Genomic DNA, 18965 nt, shown 5'->3' with positions numbered 1-18965 from the left:
GATATCAGATTTTCTAGCTCTACCTGAAGCCCCATCCTCTAAATTCCTACTCCAGCATGACTTTCCCCTTGAAGAATTCACTACCTCCTCCCCTGCCTCACTTTAAATTCCTCAGACTTCATCATGATTAATACATGATGTAGTCTATCTTAGTCATGTGCATAAGCCTTGCCTTATCAGTAATATCATAAGCTTTCTTAAGCAAGGATTAAGACTTTCCTAAGGAAGGATTAAGACATACACTTCTACAACCTATGCTAACAGCAAAGAAGGTTTCAAAAATTAAATATGCTTCATTAAGATGGGGTACTGGAAATAAAAATCCTTGCAAATCCTCGTCTTTGTCTGCCAAGCAGACAGAGACCCCAGCAACCATCCCATTCAGCCTTCACCAGCAATCATTTCTCAAAACCATCTTACCAGATTATATGTAAAAAGCCCTAAAGATTCATTTTTAAAAAACTGTTAGAACTAATAATTAATTCAGCAAAGCTGTAGGATACAAAATCAACATGTAAAAAATCAGTTGCATTTCTATATACTAACAATGAACAACCCAAAAAATTAAGAAAACAACCTTATTTATAATAGCAAAAAAAGAATAAACTACTTAGGAATAAACTTAACCAAAGAAGAGAAAGACTTGTACACTGGAAACTACAAAACATGACTGAAAGATATGAAAGAAGACACAAATAAAGGGATTGATTGAAAGACTTAATATCATTAAGCTGTCAGTATTACCCAAAGCAATCTACAGATTCATGGCAATCTCTATCAAAATTTCAATGACATATTTTATAGAAGCAGAAAAATCCATCCTAAAATTTATATGAAATCTCAAGGGATACCAAATAGCCTAAACAATCTTGAAAAATAAGAACAGAGTTGAAGGTCTCACACTTCAACAATATAATGGACTTTGGGGACTTGAGGGGAAGGGTGGGAGTAGGGTGAGGGATAAGAGACTACAAATAGGGTGCAGTGCATACAGTTCGGGTGATAGGTGCACCAAAACCTCACAAATTAGCACTAAAGAACTTACTCATGTAACCAAATACCACCTGTACCCCAATAGCCTATGGAAAAATAAAAAATAAAAGTTACTACAAAGCTACAGGAATCAAAACAGTGTGGTATTGACATAAAGACAGACATATAAATCAACAGAAGAGAATAAAGGGCCCAGAAATAAATCCTCACATATATGGTTGAATAATTTTCAACAAGAGTGTCAAGACCATTTAATGTGGAAAGAACAGTCTTTTCAACAAATAGTGTTGGAAAAACTGGATAGCTACATGCAAAAAATATATTAATGTTGGGCCCTTACCTTAGAGTACATGCAAAAATTTACTCCAAAAGGATCAAATACCTACATATAAAAACTAAAACTATAAAACTCTTAGAAGAAAACACAGGAGAAAAGCTTCATGACATTGGACTTGGCAATAATTTCTTGGATATGACACCCAAAGCACAAGCAACAAAATAAAAATAGACACTTCATCAAAATTAAAAACTTTTATATCAAAAGACACTATCAATAGTGTAAAAAAGCAATCCATGGAATAGAAGAAAATTTTATAAATCATATATCTAATAAGGGATTGATGTCCAGAATACATAGAGAACTCCAAGTCAACAACAACAAATTAACCTGATTAAAAAATAAATACAGACCTTGAATAGACATTCCTCAAAGAAGATATACAAATGGCCTATAAGCACATGAAAAGATGCTGAACATCACTAATCATTAGGGAAATGCAAATCAAAACCACAATGAAACAGCACTTCACACCATTTGGATGGCTATTATAAAAATAATAACAATAACAAGTGGCAAGGATATAGAGAAATGGAAACTCTGATGTACTGCTGTTAGGAATAGAAAATGGTACAGCTGCTATAGAAAATCGTAATAATAGCAAATAGTAGCGGTTCCTCAAGAAATTGAAAGTAGAATTACCATGAGATCCGAAAATTCCACTTCTGCATATATACTCAAAAGAATTGAAATCAAGGACTCAAATAGATGTTTGCACACCTATGTTCATAACAGCATTATTCACAACTGCCAAAATGTGGAAGCCACCCAAGCGTCCATTAATGGTTAAACGAATTTTTTAAATGTTGTATATACATACAATGGAATATTGTTCAGCCTTAAAAAGGAAGGACACTTGCTACCACATGGATGAAACTTGAAGACATTATGCTAAGTGAAATAAGTCACAAAAGGACAAACACTTTATGATTCCACTTACATGAGGTACCTAGAGCAGTCAAATTCATAGAGATAAAGTAGGTTGAGCAAGAGGAGAATAAAGAATTGGTGTTTATTGGGTACAGAGTTTTGGTTGGAGAAGATAAAGTTCTAGAGATGGAAGGTGGTGACATTGCACACATTGTGAAGGTACTTAACATCACATAAATGCACACTTTAAAATGGTTAAGATGGCAAATTTCATATTAAGTATATTTTATTGCAATAATAAAGAAAAACCTTACCAGAATGATAAGAATAATAGCAATTTTTTTTTAGATTAGCAGTTCCAAACCAAGGCATCAAAATGGATTATCAGGTATGCCATAAATAATTTGTGATTAAAAACAGCTTCAGAAACAGAGTGAATAACGTAAATGAGAGATGCTACTACTATAAGAATATCTGTCTTACATTCTTTCAGGTATGTGTGCATGTTTTAAGCAAGAGAAAAAGAAGTGGAGCTTGACCAACATTTCATCCAGGAATAGGCTCACCTATGAAAGTTGCTATATACATGAATATCATCTGATACATTGCTCAGATAGAGAAAATGTTGAGAATTACAGTTCTGGACCACAGAATCAGAGAGTCTTGGGTAGAAGAGACTTAAAGAGCCTAGACCAGTCAGGAAACCAATGCCTGAATCTCTTTTACAACATAACAGTGAACTCACTACCTCTCTAGGTAGCAGGCAGCACTTGGGGCAGCTATAAGGGTTGGAGAGTTCTCCTCACAGGGGTCGAAATCTGCCTCCCTAGAGCTCCAACAATCATGGGTATTCTAAGTATTGAGATGGAACAGAACAAGCTGACCCTCTTTCTTAGTGTCAGCACCTTCAACACGGTAAGATATATTACATTGTCCACACACCCTCCTCCAGATTTTTTTCCCTCATGCAAGCTATAAACCCTTAGTTCTCTCAGCTTCTGTTCATATGAACTCACTGTCATTTGTCCACATCCCTCTTAATAAGATAGACAACTGTCTTTTTTCACGGATCCTCTGCTGCCCAAATCCCATATGCACTGCTTCCCTGAGATGCAATGAACATACTGAGGAAGGAACTGCAGAGCCAATGAGCCGATCTGAATGTGTCTGCTAGTAACATATCGGAAGGCTTTCCCTAAAGCTCCTGGCTCTGCTTTCTGACTTCCTTCTTCCCTTTCTTTTTCTTTTTTACAGAAGGCAGAAATCCAACATGGTTTATTTCCATGTGTGTGACTGCAACATATTATAGAATTTGTTGGTTTGGAACTTTTTTTTAACCTGAACAATAACATGATCAAAATAAATAAACTGATGAGCTTACTCTTTCCCTCCCTTTGGTTGGCTGGTTGTTTATTTTTCCTAATGTTCAGGCTTAGGCTGTTATCAGGGTCCAGTAAGTCTCACCCAATATCTCCAAGACCTCAGAGTCCTGTGGACAGCAGAAGGCACCCTTTCCCATGACTGCCTAGACATACTCATAGCACACATACCCTGGCGTCTGTGTCCGAGCACTGCTCTTTAATCACCTTCCCATGCATTCTTTCATTTGTACCTAATTCCCCACCCCCCTCGGTTGGTGGGCAGATATCTGTCTCCCAAGCTGCAGGGGAGGAAACACCCCCACCATGCTTACTTGTCACAGCCACGTGTCGGTTTGCTTTGCCTTCATCTATTACATCCATGACTTCCTCAGGGCTCGACACAAACCGCTCAGTGCACCCCTGGAAGAGAATCAGTTCAGGTTCACCACTGAAAGAGTTGAAAAGCAACAATATTTTGAAAGGCTGAAACATTTTCCTGTTTATCTTCTAGAGGTGCAGATAAATAGAAAGGCTGAAATATCGATCCAACAACTTTTCCTCCTTGCCCAGGGCTTGAATTCTACATTAAAGAGAAGTCTGAGCAAGCCCTAGGAAATATAGACGTAAACCAAAAAAAGAACTGTCAAATTTTCCTAGGTTTTTGAGTACATATTCATACTGAACAGCAACACTTTAAGAAGACAGAAAATCAAAGAAGAAAATCAATGAGAGAAGAAGAAATGGATGAAGTTTTGCTTTGCCTTCTATCTTTATTTATTTATGATCATGGCCACCAATATTAGCTACTTTGATGTTCCACAGATAATGCTATAATAGGCGTTACTGCAAAGTAAAAACAGTTGCACTCAATATCAAAATCTCTTTAAATGTGAACAATATTAAATAATAATGTCATAAAGGAAAGATACAATTGAAGAAAGTAAATGTCAATTTTTAAAACCAGATGAATATTAAATATAAGGAGCCTGAATAAATGCCTATATGCTCTTTACAGATAATATTCTGCACATCTTATGTAATAATTATTATGACAGAGACTGGAGAGAAATTAATTGCATCACCAATCAAATCTTCCTCATACCTTTACATACGGGACTCTGTTTTTATCTTCATGAACAGCCAAGTTGGTCTTGGATACTAAAAAGATGAGAATGACAGCAGGCAAAGAAGAAAATAAAAGTTAAAGACTCTATATTGGAGGAAAAATGGAAGTTTGTTACAAAGACAGTCAAATCTAATCTCTTTGCAATATGCAAGTTTAAGCCTTGGCTGAGAATAAACATATACCCTGAAGGCAACAGAGTATCTCTATAAATTTTCATTAATTCCTTAAGCAGAAGTGTGATAAACCATTTCAACCTCCCCGGACTTTCGTTACAGAACAAATAAAGGACAAGCACTGAGGTTACTTACCATCAAGTAAGTCCCTTATTTTGTCCAAGTAGATCTCAAAATAGGAAACCTAGTTAAAAACAAATTGAGCTTGGAATAGACATGCCGCAGTGTATTTCAAAAATGCCATTATTAGTACTTATGAAAGCTTTCATCATGCATGGCTAAGAAGAGTAAGAAGAGGGGTTCAAAGTGAAGACTTAAAATCTGGCCAGCTCTACTGGGATTCCCCTACTTCCCGCTTGCTCTACGCTTCCCTAAGTGTGGACCACTCTCCACCTACACACATCACAGCTCCCTTTGGTTGTCATTCAAGTGTTCTTAACATCATGTGCTAGACACTTACAGGAGGACTCTAGGCTTTAAGTTAGATGAGCACCAAGCACGCTTAGAAAACACTCAGTAGGCCTCACCTTATTGCATGATACTGACAGTATCATGAAGGAGACTTAGCCCAAATGTTCACATGCAAGAAGCCAGGAGAGGGCAAGGGCAGTGTGTTTAGAACTACAAGAGCTCAGAAAGGTAACTGAGCAAGAGCTGGTAATGGTGGCCAGCTCTGGTGCATCCAGGAAAGATCTGAACAAAATGGGACTTGATAAAAGATGGTTAGACTGTGAGAAGAAAAGGAGGCCTTCCCATTAGTCTCAAGGCTCAGCCACAGCACCACCTTCATCAGCATCACCTAAGAACCTGTTTGAACTGCAGAACCCTGAACCCTACTACAGTCCTGCTGAATCCGAATCCCAGATAAAAGGAACTAGGAATCTGGTTCTCAGTTGCCCAGGCGATTCTTATGCTGGCTGATGTCTGAGACCTGCTTTAACTAAATATGTGGTCTTAGGGACTCAATTCACACATAACCAAGACCCTAGGCCTCAATTGTACCATCTGTCACATGAAGCCATAGGGCTTTACGATGTCAAAAATCCCCCTCTAGGATTCTGTACTCTGTTTACATCTGCTGTCTGCCTACCCAATAAACTTATCTGCCCTATGTTCATAAGTGCTTTTGAAATCTAAACAAGGGAGTGGGCAGAAAGGAAAACAGTTGTAAAGTTGTAAAGCTGGGATGTGACTACTCAGGTAAAACCTCATCCCTACATCCCAGCTCTGGACCAGTCAAGGGGAAGCAAAGACTCTAACCCAGCACTGGTCCCAGCTCTGACTCAGCCCTGATCCATTATCCTTAATGTGCCTCGGTCTGGAACTACCTGACTGGAACCATCCCAGCTACTCTGAGATGTGGGGTCCTAGCTTGAGCCCTGGAATCCACTGCTGGGCATCTCTCCTGGCTGCCTGTATCCCTAGCAACATCTGCCTACTTGAACACCTGTCAGACTTCCCTGTCCCTGAGGCCCATCTCTCATGGACACACTTATGTGACATTTGAAAGACTCACGCCTACAGCTTTCTCTAATCTTTCATGCTGCCACACTCCCCACATCCTTATGGGTCTGTCTGACCTCCAATCCTGGACATCTCTAACCCAGTCCTTCCTGCAGCCAACTCCACCCTGGTTCAGCGCATTCTATTTATTTCAGAATTGTCTGATGTTCATTAAGACTTGTCTATTATTTTTGAGATCTTAAACATATGGCCTTATTTCCATAGATTACAGAGAAAATTAATTACATCTAAAAAAAAGTCACAAACTAGATACTGGCAAATCTGGCAATTAGAATCATATTCACATTTAATGTAAGTAGAAACAGGATTCTGATTTCATTAATTTCTGCTTTTGGTGTGTGTGCGAGGGTGGTGATTTTGTTGTTTTGTCATTTAAAATACTTTGTGAGACTAGGCGGAAGAAAAATAAATAGGCATTGTTTGGCATTAAGAAATAGGACGTTCAGAAATAAAGTTTAAAACCTCTGTGGGACTCATTTAAGGAGCAGATTTTCGATATTGCCTTAGTCAGTCCTCTTTTTCTTGATTTAGCCTCTCACTATCCGGTTCAGAATACAAAGTAGTCAGCAACTAATTTGCCCACTTATTATTTATAAAACAAGTAAGCATAAGTACAAATGCAACACAGAAATCCAGACTGTAAAATTCAGCCCTAGAGACTTAAGAGTGTTGTTCCTCTCCTCCCCTAACTTCATGCTAGGGCTGTTTTTATCTTAATAAGATTCTAACACAAGACCCTATTTTGAGGGCAGTAATTGGTTTAACATCTTATTCCAGGATTATCACATAAGAACCCTGCAGTAGTTTAAGCTATTTAAATGCAAACAGCCCTAAAGAAGCACTAAGCTTCTAAATCTTGATCCCATCAAAGCAACAAGCTTCTGTATCCTTAGATATAAAGAACCTTGGCAAGAAGGAGAAGCAGGCTTTAGCCAACAAAAGGAATCCTAAGGAAAAGTGATTTGCTAGATGTAATTTATAGTTGGGCAAACAGTTGGTGCCTTCTTTTTATGTCATTTACGAAAGGTATACAGTAGTAAGGGGAGAAGTTTAATATAATTGAAAAGGTATCGCATGTGCGGTTGGTCAGACCTAGGGTCTATTCTTAGTTTTATCAATAACTTGGTGTTTAAGTTGGGCCTTGTAACTCTGCGTCTTTTTTTTTTTTTTTTTTTAAGACAGAATCTCTCTCTGTCGCCCAGGCTAGAGTGTGGTGGAGTGATCTCAGCTCACTGCAACCTCTGCCTCCCAGGTTCAAGTGATTCTCGTGCCTCAGCCTCCTGAGTAGCTGGGATTATAGGCACACACCACCATGCCTGGCTACTTTTTTTGTATTTTTTTTTTTTAGTTGAGACAGGGTTTCACCATGTTGGCCAGGCTGGTCGTGAACTCCTGACCTCAGGCAATCTGCCCGCCTCAACCTCCCAAAGTGCTGGGATTACAGGTCTGAGCCACTGTGCCCAGCCTAACCCTGCATCTTTAAACTTCCGTTTCCTCATCTCTGAACAGATGGGCCTGGTGCACTAAGATCCCAGCCTGAAGGGAAATCTCTTAGCAGATCTGCTTAGCGAGGCTTCTTAGAACTGCCCCTTCACCCTCCCCAGCCACAGTGGGGGCCCCCAGACAGCATGTGCATCCTGGACACAGCTCATCGGGCAAGGGGGGCACCTATGTAGGCTGGGCCAATGAGTCCCTGCCCAAGGGAATTTAGAGTTGGAAATAAGGGAATGGTGGAGCAGCAGCTGCCATGTTGCCAACCCCTTCTCCCACCAAAAAGAGAGAAAGATGCTCCAGAACAAGAGAAAGAAGTCAAGCAAGGGGGCAGAAAAGCAGGGACTGTAACAGGTTTGGGGTTTCTTTTGGAGGTGACGATATGCTCAAGAATTAGGATAAGGATCATCATTGTACACTTTTGGGAATATATTAAAAACCATCAAACTATACACTTTAAAAGGATGAATTTTGCGGTATGTGAACAATATCTCAATTGTTTAAAAAGTTTAAAAAGAAAAACAGGGCTTAGATTTCCTGCCCTCCACACTTCATCCTCCACAAAATGCCCACTGTCAGATTCTGTATCTTATAAACAATATCCTCTATTTGCTTAAACAAGTGCCTTTCAGCCACTTGCAAAAGAGGTGTTCCAATGAATATACCCTACTATCAAATTTGATTATTTAACAGCTACAGTAAGAGAGTAGAAATCTCTCTTTTAATGCCAATTTAAGTCATATAACAAGTTTTGGTTTAAAACAAAAACAAAATACAAGGGGGAAGATAAAAAGGAAGAGAATTCCTCTTCCCAACATTTCTCAGAGTTCTGCTCTGTGACACTCTGCTCAAAACACAAGTCTGTGATACTCTTAGGAGGAGAAATGTGTCTACATTCAAATAAGCTGGGAAATGTAATCTAATGCATGTCCCCTTTGCAGAGCATATTGAAACCTGTGATAAACTTAACACTGTTCAAGAAAGCATTTTCCCAGCTCATTTGGCCTTACAGCCCTTTTCCCTGCTAGCCCACCATTAATAACACAAGGGACTGTGTTCCACAGAACACACTTTGGAAAATGCTGCCCTAACCCAAACACAAACACATTTCAGTCATACCCACAGAAATCCAGAGGATAAAGGGTAGAATTTGGGCAACAATCAAGATGATTTCCTCCTAAAGAAGGCTTTTGCTTTCATTATGTGGATATTTCAAGCAAACCCTCCAGACACCTGTTAGCCTAGGTCACTAATAAAGAGGGCTCTGCTTACCACAAGAATGTCATTTAAATTAGTAGGATCATCTTTTATATCTTCTTGAAAGGAGGAGGTATAAGAAACGTTATCTGGGGCCCAGTGTCTTCTCTGGGGACCAATCAGTAATACGTACCTTTATGTGAAACTCCAGGTTCTCATCCATGGAGTAGATATGGTCAAAGATATCATGGGCAATTCGTGGGATGATCCCCATGAGCTGGGGGTCATGCAGCTTCCCCTAGTGGGCGAAAATACAAACACGGGCAGTTAAAGCATGCTGGGAGACACATGAGAGAGAGGGAGAACCATCTCTGGGTTCCTCAGACAGAACCCGGTGGAGCAGGAAGCACCCACGTGTGCCTGCCAGCTCCCTTGGGCATCTACCTGACTTGCCAACAGACCAGAAGTTGGTGGAAAAACTCATTGTGTTGGCCTGTTTATCCAGCAGGGGAGCACTTGTTCTGCCAAGTTCTGAGGCCCCACATTATTGCCTCCAGCTGCCACTCAAGGAAACAAAATCAGAGTCTATGTGGCTAGTGTGGGGTGAGGAGGAGGAGGAAAAGGGAGCAGGAGAAGGAACGAGAATATATGGGTTTGGGTTTTGAGTATTTACAAACTGACCTGAGCCTGGAGTTCCAAGTAAGGCAATCTTGTTTAATGAAATCACCTCTAGAACTGATTTCCAAAATTTTCCAAAATTTCTAAGAACCTTATTCTGGCAACACTTTCAGTATCATTTAACAGATCAATCAAGAAAATACATTTCATCAACTTCTTTTAAAAATCTGTGGTTCCCAGGCCAAATTGTTCCAAATAATTTTTAGCTGTTTCTAATACCTAAATCCATGTTTAAGATCGTCTTATATTCTTCTTTCCCCGCTTTTCTACTTTACTCATTTCACCTAAGTGGGTGGGGATAGGGATAGGTAAATTCTTCTGCTATTTGGATATTACCAAATCCATTTTTAAGGTCCAGAATTTGCCACCCCTGAAGATTTTAGAAAAGATGCCTTAGGATCTGACAGCAACTCCTAATGAAGACTTCCAGAAGTATTGAAAGCAACACACAAGCTCCAGAGAGCCTTTGCCTAAGCCCACCGTCAAATAAGCACTTAAGTTCTCATATGTGTTCAACAATCCATCAGTGAACAAACACACAGTCTGCAGGTTTAAAGTGATCAGTGCCAACAACACATCCAGAGATTTTCCAGATTTTTTGTTTGTTTGTTTTTGTTTTTTGAGACAAGGTCTCACTCTGTTGCCCAGGCTGCAGTGCAGTGGTGCAGTCTTAGCTGACTGCAACCTCCACTTCCCAGGCTCAAGTGATCCTCAGCTTCCCTAGTAGCTGGAACTACAGGTGTGCACCACCGCAGCTGGCTAATTTTTTGTATTTTTTGTAGAGATGAGGTTTCGCAGTGTTGCCAAGGCTGGTCTCCAACTCCTGAGCTCAAAGTGATCCACCCACCTTGGCTTCCCAGAGTGCTGGGATTACAGGCATGAGCCACCACGTCCGGCAGTCTGGCCTCCAGCAAAGCTCTCTCATCCGGAAAAATGGATACTCCTCTGGAATGCCCTTATCTATTAAGAATCTAAATAGTTTGATGTATTGCTCTTGTTTTTTAGTTTGACTGCATACTTCCTAAAGATAGGGATGGCCAGTGCATGTATATTTCTCTCCATTGCTTACAAGATTTAGTATTTATTACATAGAATTATTGTAGAATTCAAGTTAAATAGGATATATAAAGTGCTTAGTGACATGAGAAGGGCTAAAATAAATGTTAGTATTATATCACTCAGCTCACAGCAGGTTTTCACGAAGAAATTATTGCAGTTTATTTCACCTGAAGAGACTGAAACACATTTCTATCCCTGACAATTAATATATATCTTAGGAAAGAAAACAGTGCCAAATGACTGACAATCTCAAATCTTGATAACTTTTAAACTGTACATTCCATCATAAATGTGTAACAAATTAGACAATGGACCTCCACATGCTCTGAACCATGGAGATCATTGGCAGAAACAATACCTATGGTGAGAACATCATTTCCATCTGGCCAAATGTCATGACTCCACTCAGCCAATCAAAAGACCTCCCCTACCAAAGCCCTCCAGAGCTTTTTAATAATTCATGATAATCCTTTAGCTTCTCCTCAGTAGCCCACAGCCAGAGAAGAACGATTGATAATCCAAAAATCATTTATAATTGACTCAAATCTATTTTCCTAGATGCTTTCCCTTTCAATGGATTTATCTCCCCATTGATTCCTGGCTTATACAAGTGCTGACATCTCTTTGTTTGCCTTTGTCAGGGCAAGAACCAAGGCAGAACGAGAGATGAATCTAGGACACTCTCTACTTTGTGTCTCTCTGAAGTCCTCACCCTAAAATCAATGTGAGAAAAGTGAGTGTTCTCATAATAATGCCTCCCATCCCCACAGGAACAGAAGCATACCCACATCTACCACAGGCCTAGGAGCTGGGCTGCTTGATCCAGCTCAGATGCCCAAGAGTGGTAAGGGCTTTATGTGCAGCAAACTGGGCCTGCCGAAACAATCTGCAGGTGTGTGTACGCAGGGGAGGATGTAGGGGCATGTGGAGTGTGCACGTGTGTGTGTGTGTGTAGTGTTAGGGGAGCATATGGATGTGTGATGTGTGTAGTATATGTCTGTGTGTGATATACGTGTGGGGTGTGAGGGCTACGTCTGCGTGTGTGGGGGCGTGTGATGTATGTGGAGTATTACATATATGTGTGATGTGGGGGTTATATGTGTGTGAGATGGACGTAGGGAATGTGTGCAGGTATGTGCTATAGCGTGAATGTAGGAAGTGTGGCGAGTGTGGGGGTGCTTGTGATGTGTGTGGCTGTGTGGCATTCTGTGGCGTGTGTGTATTGTATATGTGTGATATGTGGTGTCTGTGTCTGTATGATGTATGCAGAGTGTGTGTGTGTGTGTGTGTATGCGTGTGTGTTGTGTGTGTGATATATGTGGGTTCTGCCTGTATGTGTGCATGTATATGTGGGGGGTGTCTCTGTGTGTGTGGTGTGTCTGTGTGTGTGTATGTAGGGGGTATGCCATACAATGTGTGGTATCTGGTATATGGTATGTCTGTGTGTGTATGATGTATGTGGGGGTGTGGTATATAGTGTGTGGTATGCGTGTCTATATGGATGTGTGTGATGTGTACATCTCTGTATGTTTATGATGTTATGTAGGGGTCATGTGTGGTATATAGTGTGTGGTGTGTGGTGTGTTTGTATGTGGTGTGTATATATCTGTGTGTATATGTATGATGTATGTGGAGGGGTGGTATGTGATGTGTGGTGTGTCTGTGTGTGCATATGTGTGTGATGTGTATATGTCTGTGTGTGTATGATGTATGCGTGTGCAGTATGTTATGTGGTGTGTCTGTATGTGTGTGATATATATGTCTGTGTGTGTTTATGATGTATGTGAGGGCCATGTGTGGTGTGAGGTATGTCTGTGGTATGTATATGTCTGTATGTGTCTGATGTATGTGGAAGGGTGTGTGGTATGTGGTGTGTAGTGTGTCTGTGTGGGTATATGTGTGGTGTGTACATGTTTGTGTGTGTGTATGATGTATTTAAGGAGTGTGATATATTGTGTGTGGTGTGTCTGTGTGTATATTATGGTGTGTGGTGTGTCTGTGTGTGTACATGTGTTTGGTGTGCATATGTCTGTGTGTGTATCATGTATATGGGGGGTATGTGGTATATGGTGTGTCGTGAATGTATGTGTGTGCGTGTGTATGATGTATGTGGGAGGCGTGGTGTGTGGTGCATCTGTGTGTGATGTGTCTGTGTGTATATGTATGTGGTGTGCATATGTCTGTGTGTGTGTACAATGTATGTGGGGTGTGGTAGTGGTGTATGGTATGTCTGTGTGTGACGTGTCTGTGTGTGTATACGTGTGTGGTATGCATATGTCTGTGTGCATGTACAATGTATGTGGGGGTGTATGGTATGTGGTGTGTGGTGTGTCTGTGTGTATATGTGCGTGGTGTGCATATGTCTGTGTGTGTGTTTACGATGTATGTGGGGGGGGTGGAATGTGGTGTGTGCTGTTTCTGTGTGTGTATGAGAGTGAGGTGCTCCTTAGAGGTCTTCACTGCTTCTACACTGACCCTTGCAGATGAGATGCGCAGCCCAGACACACAATGCACAGTTGCCTCGGGCAGTAAGAAGTGGGATAACAGCCGAGAGCTATAGAAATTCAGAGACTAGAAATGTCCCAGATTTCCAGTAATAAAATGGGTAATATGGGATGGCTTGCTTGAGGGACACCAAATCTTGAAGAATGGTTAAGTTTAGGGATGGGTAGAGAGGATGTGGGCGGAGAAGGCGAGTGGGAGAACCAAGTACAGGAACTGAGAAAGAACAGTGAAAGTGTATTTTAGCTAAAGGATCAAACATGAACTTGGGGAGCAAAGAAATCCACTGCCTCATCACCTTGTTTCTCCCGGAAAGCAAATAGGAGAAAGATCTTTATAACTGCATCCTGTATAATTCTATCCGCAAACTTTTCCCACGGAATGTGATCTTTTAGGAGCACATATGAAAGAAGAAACAAGACCCAGGCCACCAGCCACCAAACAAGACTCTCTTTGTTCCAGCCCCAGTTGCCTCCTTGACCTCCCAAGCAGGGCAGAGTTTCCTGAAACACTTAAGACATCAGCCCGTCAGCACATGAGCACCGTGCGTTCAGACAGATTAGTTCAAAATCACTTGGCAGGCTTGGCGGGACGGCTGGGAAGCCTGTACCATTCAGATGACCTCCAAGCGTCTCTTGGGGCAGAAAGAAAAAACACAAGGTGTCTCCATCCATCTATATCAGTGTGCAGAAGAGGATCACAAAGGAGGGCACGGGGCCAGGAGAGGCCCTTCCCAGCATCACTCACAGAACAAAAGAACAGTCTCTTTTTCCTCAGCTGGAGCTGGAACCCCCTGTGTCCTCCCCAGCGCCAACCCTGGGTATGGGCTGCACAAGCCCAGGACCTTCTGTGTGGTGGTGTCCACCGAGCTTAGCATTAACACTGTCCAGTGAGTCATATATTTACTGAAAACCTACCTTAAATGCTCCATCTTGAGAAGCTAATATTTCCAATTTTATGTAGGCTTGTCTGTTTGTTCCCCTCAATACAAGGTAATGGAATCACCACTGGATGTCAGACCAAAAATAGGGGGATTAAAGTGAAAAACATCTTTAAAATGTGACCTCTCTTTCCACTCAGGGACACTCAGGGAGTTAACATCCCCTTCCGAAAGCCTTTGGAAGATCACAATGTGTAATTTGAATACATAAAATCCTCCTTTCAGAGAATGCAGACCCTGTAGGGCTTTTTTGACTTAATTGCATTCCAGGATCCTGGATTTCTTGGTCTCTCGCAGTATCTATGACTTCAGCTTAGGGCTCCTCCTTCCCTCTGTCTTCCTCTGAAAATATCCCCTACCTTTTCTCCAATCTATAATTACCCTACAGAAAGAACTCGATTAAGTGAGGGGGTGGGTGGCACTAGGAAAAAACTCCCATCCACATCAACTATTTCTAACTGTAGGCACAAGTATGTGATCTGCAAAAGTCACAATAAAGGAAAGCAACTCATTACAACTGACCTTTTAAAACTGACAAAGATGAAGAGGCAACCGGAGGTGAAACCTGTCCAGAACCCAGTTCCTTTCAGGTCCCCCATGAGTCCTCACTGGTCAGGCATTGTGAAGTTTACACTGTAAGACACAGAGGGCTTGAGAGCCTCTAGCAAAATATCTCTTCTATTAGTTTTTGTTTTTGGTTTTGGTTTTTAATTTTATTATTTATTATTACTATTTTTTTTGAGACGGAGTCTTGTTCTGTCACCCAGGCTGGAGCGCAGTGGTGTAATCTTGGCTCACTGCAACCTTCGCCTCCACAGTTCAAACAATTCTCCTGCATCAGCCTCCTGGGTAGCTGAGACTACAAATGTGCGCCACCACGCCTGGCTAATTTTTTTGTATTTTTAGTAGAGATGGGGTTTCGCCATGTTAGCCAGGCTGGTCTCGAACTCCTGACCTATGTGCTGGGATTACAGGTGTAAGCCACCACGCCTGGCCTCCCATATTAGTTTTAAAGGGCGGGCATAGCTCTTTGCCATCACCCTACATCCATCTCTTCTCCGGAAATAAGATTTTACACTGGGGAGCATTCTCTCTCTTGATGTCTTACAGCTTAAATTTCTGGCATTTAGCAAGTACCTTATATTTTCTAATCCCAAAGCTTAAAAGGTCACTATTGTAAGCATTCCAAGAGATTTTGGGGGATTTTAAATAATGCAGGTTGCTTTTGTTTTTGTTGTTGTTGTTGTTGTTGTTTGGCATTATATATAGTTTGGTAATAAAACAAAACAAACAAACAAAAAAACCTCTAGACTGATTGAATTCCTCACTAGACACCGTATCTCTCTTTCAAGTGTCATCTGACCTAGGAGGGAGTTTTTGTCTACAGGTACTGGACTAGGTGGGACACAGGAAATGTAGAACTGCAACTTTTCTATAGTCTCAAGGTCAAGAGTCGGGGGCCTAGTAAGAGAGGGAAAGGCGAGGGGCCGGGACAGGAGCGTGAGGATAGCAGGGTGGCGTTTCCAAGACGTTCTGCAGTAGAGTGTGAGAGGAGGAGAAGATGGGCTGATGCCACTCAGGTGTCAGGGGAAAGACCTGCTTAGTCAGAAAGAAGTGATAAATAAACCTCATGCTTCCTTTAATCTGTGCAGTCTCTGAACCACTTTGTCTTCAGCAAAACAGGTGAAAGAGAGTCAACACCGCAGAAATGAGATCCCCGGCACTGTACCCCACACTTGAAATCAGTATGAGCAGAACATCAGAGCCCTGAGGATTTTAGCCTCGTGCCTTTGAAATCTCCTCTTCAATAGGAATGATTCATAAGCTAAACCGATTCTGCAGCAGCCGTCTCAGTGCTATTCCCAGGAGGGCATCGTAAATGAAAAACACTAAGCTGGAAGGATTAAGGATTCATCTTACCCTGCTGCTGAATTCCCCAAACTTCCTCTGTGCAGTTTCTTATAATAACCACGCTTACCACCTCTCCTTACCTATCAAGTGGGCCTCACCTTTAGAAGAATTATCAGGCTCTGAAGGCCCTATAGGATTTGGTGATTTAAAGAAAAAAAAAAAAGGAAAAGAGGAGGCAAAGAGGTTCAATTTTGTCTGCAGACCTGCCTTGTTTGGAAAACAGACTGAAGCCACAAAATTCCACAGCCAACAACTGGAGCTGGGGTCATACCCTGAAGTGCCTTCAGGGAGCAGGTATGTAAGTCAATAAGGAAGGATGCCAAATATAAGTTCGTCTTCACCCCAGTGTGCATGAAGTGGGCTGGGTGTGAGTACAATGGAGAGTCCAGCCCCATGTACGTGGGGTGGCCAGAGCCAGTACCACAGGTACCATTTTCACAAATACTAACAAATATTTTACCAAACTTCTCCTAGGTGACAGCAGCTGTTCCCTGCACTAGAAATGTTAACAAAAAGGTGAACAGGACAATGAAGTGAACAGTGAAGCTTGAATTTTATATTATGGTGAAATTCACCCAGTGCTGCCAGATCTTCAGAATATTCAACCTAAGATGGAAAATTTGAATTGTGTGAAATCATCCAATTTTTAACATTGCTTACTATTAAAAAAAAAAATACCGTGCAGTCCAAACAAAAATATGTCTGTGGGCTGAACGTGGCCCACAAGCCAACTTTTAAAAATCTCTGACCTACAGTTTTTTATTTATTCTAAGAGACGAACCTCCCCGGGGGCCTTCATCAGGGTAAATGATTTTCCCAACAGGCTTTCCCAGTTAGAATGAGGCTGAAGTCCAGAATGATGTTCACACTACTGCTTAGCTAATCAATGATTGTTTCTGAATAGAATGTATTGTTACTGTCACAAAGTTATCAATAAAGTACTTTTTAAAATACTGAATTCCTGAGACTTTATTTTTTGCTGCTATTTTAAAACTTCTCAAAGACATAATTAATTGGCCAAACATAACCGTCTCTATTTCCCAGTAAAGAAAGCCACATGCACCTCAAGTTTTGCTGGAAACGTCAGTTCCATTCAGTCATCTCAGAGATTCGCATTAGAGCACATTGTAATCTTACCTCCATGGTGTGGGTTTTTCCTGATGAAGTCTGCCCATACGCAAAAATCGTCCCGTTATAACCTTCAAGGACATCTGTGAACAAGAAAAAGAAATTAAAATTAACTCATTACTTTGATCATATGCTGGTGTAGGTTGCATATTTTAAAATTACATTTTCCAAATGGCCCATCTCATTTTTCATACAAATGATATATTTCAACTCCATGTGAATTTTAAGTAGAAAATTCTGTTGTTCTACAAATGGAAAGAAATGGACTCACATTTCACAGAATACATTAATGAAGAAGGAGGCAGACACACTTTCTCCCAATGACATCAAAAGGAAGATAGAGACATCGAGCAGAAAACTTTTTTTTAGTAGAAGGATATTTGAGTTTTCTTCTATAAGTTGATCTCTTGAGATCAGTTGGGGGAAAAAGAAAACATTATTCTTATGCCCTGTTTCTGGAGTGAGATGAAGAACAGAATTTCTTTCCTGAAGATTTAATCTGGGTCAGTTTAAACGCTGGCCCAGGCTAGCTCCTTGGGGAGGTTTCTCCTGAAAGCCCCACAAGAGCTCCTTGAGTCCAGAGGTGGGGGAGGAAAAGGGCCCCACTCTATAAACAGAGCCTCAGGATGACAATCCAATCAGCCCAGAAACTAGCCGGGCCCTCACTTAAATTTAATGTCTCTGTGTTTGCACTGATAGTGCTAACAAGCCAGCCCAGGCCCATCAGCATCAGGAAATTTCTTTTAATTACACAATGAGAGCACTGTGCAAACCCCTCCACACTGCAGGTCGGTGCCACATCACACAGGGACAAGGGGAGGCTCGAGGGTGGAGGCTGCTTTTTGCTGAAGAGCTGAAGATTATCTGTGGGAATTCTTTCAAAGCAGCAGAGGTGATTAAAATATATTTAGCACTCATTTCTCTCCTGCTTTCCTCCTTCATCCTCACAAATATCACTGGAAGAGGAACAATGCATCATTAATATCCTTGATCCTCCATTCCGAATAAGGGGAGGAAGTCTTCATTTGCACAAGCTGTAGAGGCAGGGAGAAGGACCCCACACTGAGGTGTCCTATTCAGGGTCATGTAAAAAACCAAGCCAGGCAATCAGCTCCATCTACTTCAGGCTCTAAATAGAGTTTTTCTTTTGGGAGCATGGTAGAGGGGGTTCTCTGAATTTTATGATGCTGGTTTGTTTTTGTTTTGCTTTGATAGGTTTGCTTTTTTGAATTTTTTTTCTATATCAATTCTGATTTGTTATGTTTTTTAAAAAAATTTTAATAAACATTTGACTGATCTGAGGTTGTTGAAGTGTGAACTGGGATAAGAACAAAAAAGCAATATGTTATTTTAGGAAGGTAAGAAAAGAAAAATTAAGTGGCAGGATTTTTTTTTAATTCTAGCAGCCCTCAAGAGTTTGTATCAAGCTATATTGGGGGTTGGTGGGAGAGGAGGGACAGGGAGAGAGAGGAGGGGGAGCAAGAGGAGGGAGAGAGAATGTTCATACATATCAGATTTCGGCTAATGGCTCCCCTGCTAACAGTGGGAAGCAAAAACTTGAAGTAGTCAGTGTAAGGTTTGGAGGTTCAAGCTTCAGTTTTCACAAAAATGCCAACTTACTCCAAGAAAAGATTCCTTAGGCCAGAGCAGACAGAGCACCTCTACACTAACATGA

At 41.1% G+C, this 18965-nt stretch overlaps 1 protein-coding gene across 2 annotated transcripts in view; it reads right to left on the bottom strand.

Moving 5' to 3' along the window:
* The window catches only part of KIF5C (kinesin family member 5C), a 151533-nt gene that overhangs the window by 80106 nt on the left and 52462 nt on the right, over window positions 1-18965 (bottom strand). For both annotated transcript variants that reach the window (NM_004522.3, XM_017004062.2), the window contains exons 3-7: window positions 17300-17373; window positions 9266-9370; window positions 4996-5044; window positions 4664-4719; window positions 3894-3981 (exon numbers count right to left, since the gene is read on the bottom strand). In NM_004522.3, coding sequence (NP_004513.1) covers window positions 3894-3981; window positions 4664-4719; window positions 4996-5044; window positions 9266-9370; window positions 17300-17373 — 372 coding nt within the window. The remainder of the gene's footprint in view (window positions 1-3893; window positions 3982-4663; window positions 4720-4995; window positions 5045-9265; window positions 9371-17299; window positions 17374-18965) is intronic.

Source organism: Homo sapiens, chromosome 2, assembly GCF_000001405.40.
Source record: "Homo sapiens chromosome 2, GRCh38.p14 Primary Assembly".
Lineage (NCBI taxonomy): Eukaryota > Metazoa > Chordata > Mammalia > Primates > Hominidae > Homo > Homo sapiens.
This window is presented reverse-complemented; position numbering and strand designations above follow the sequence as displayed.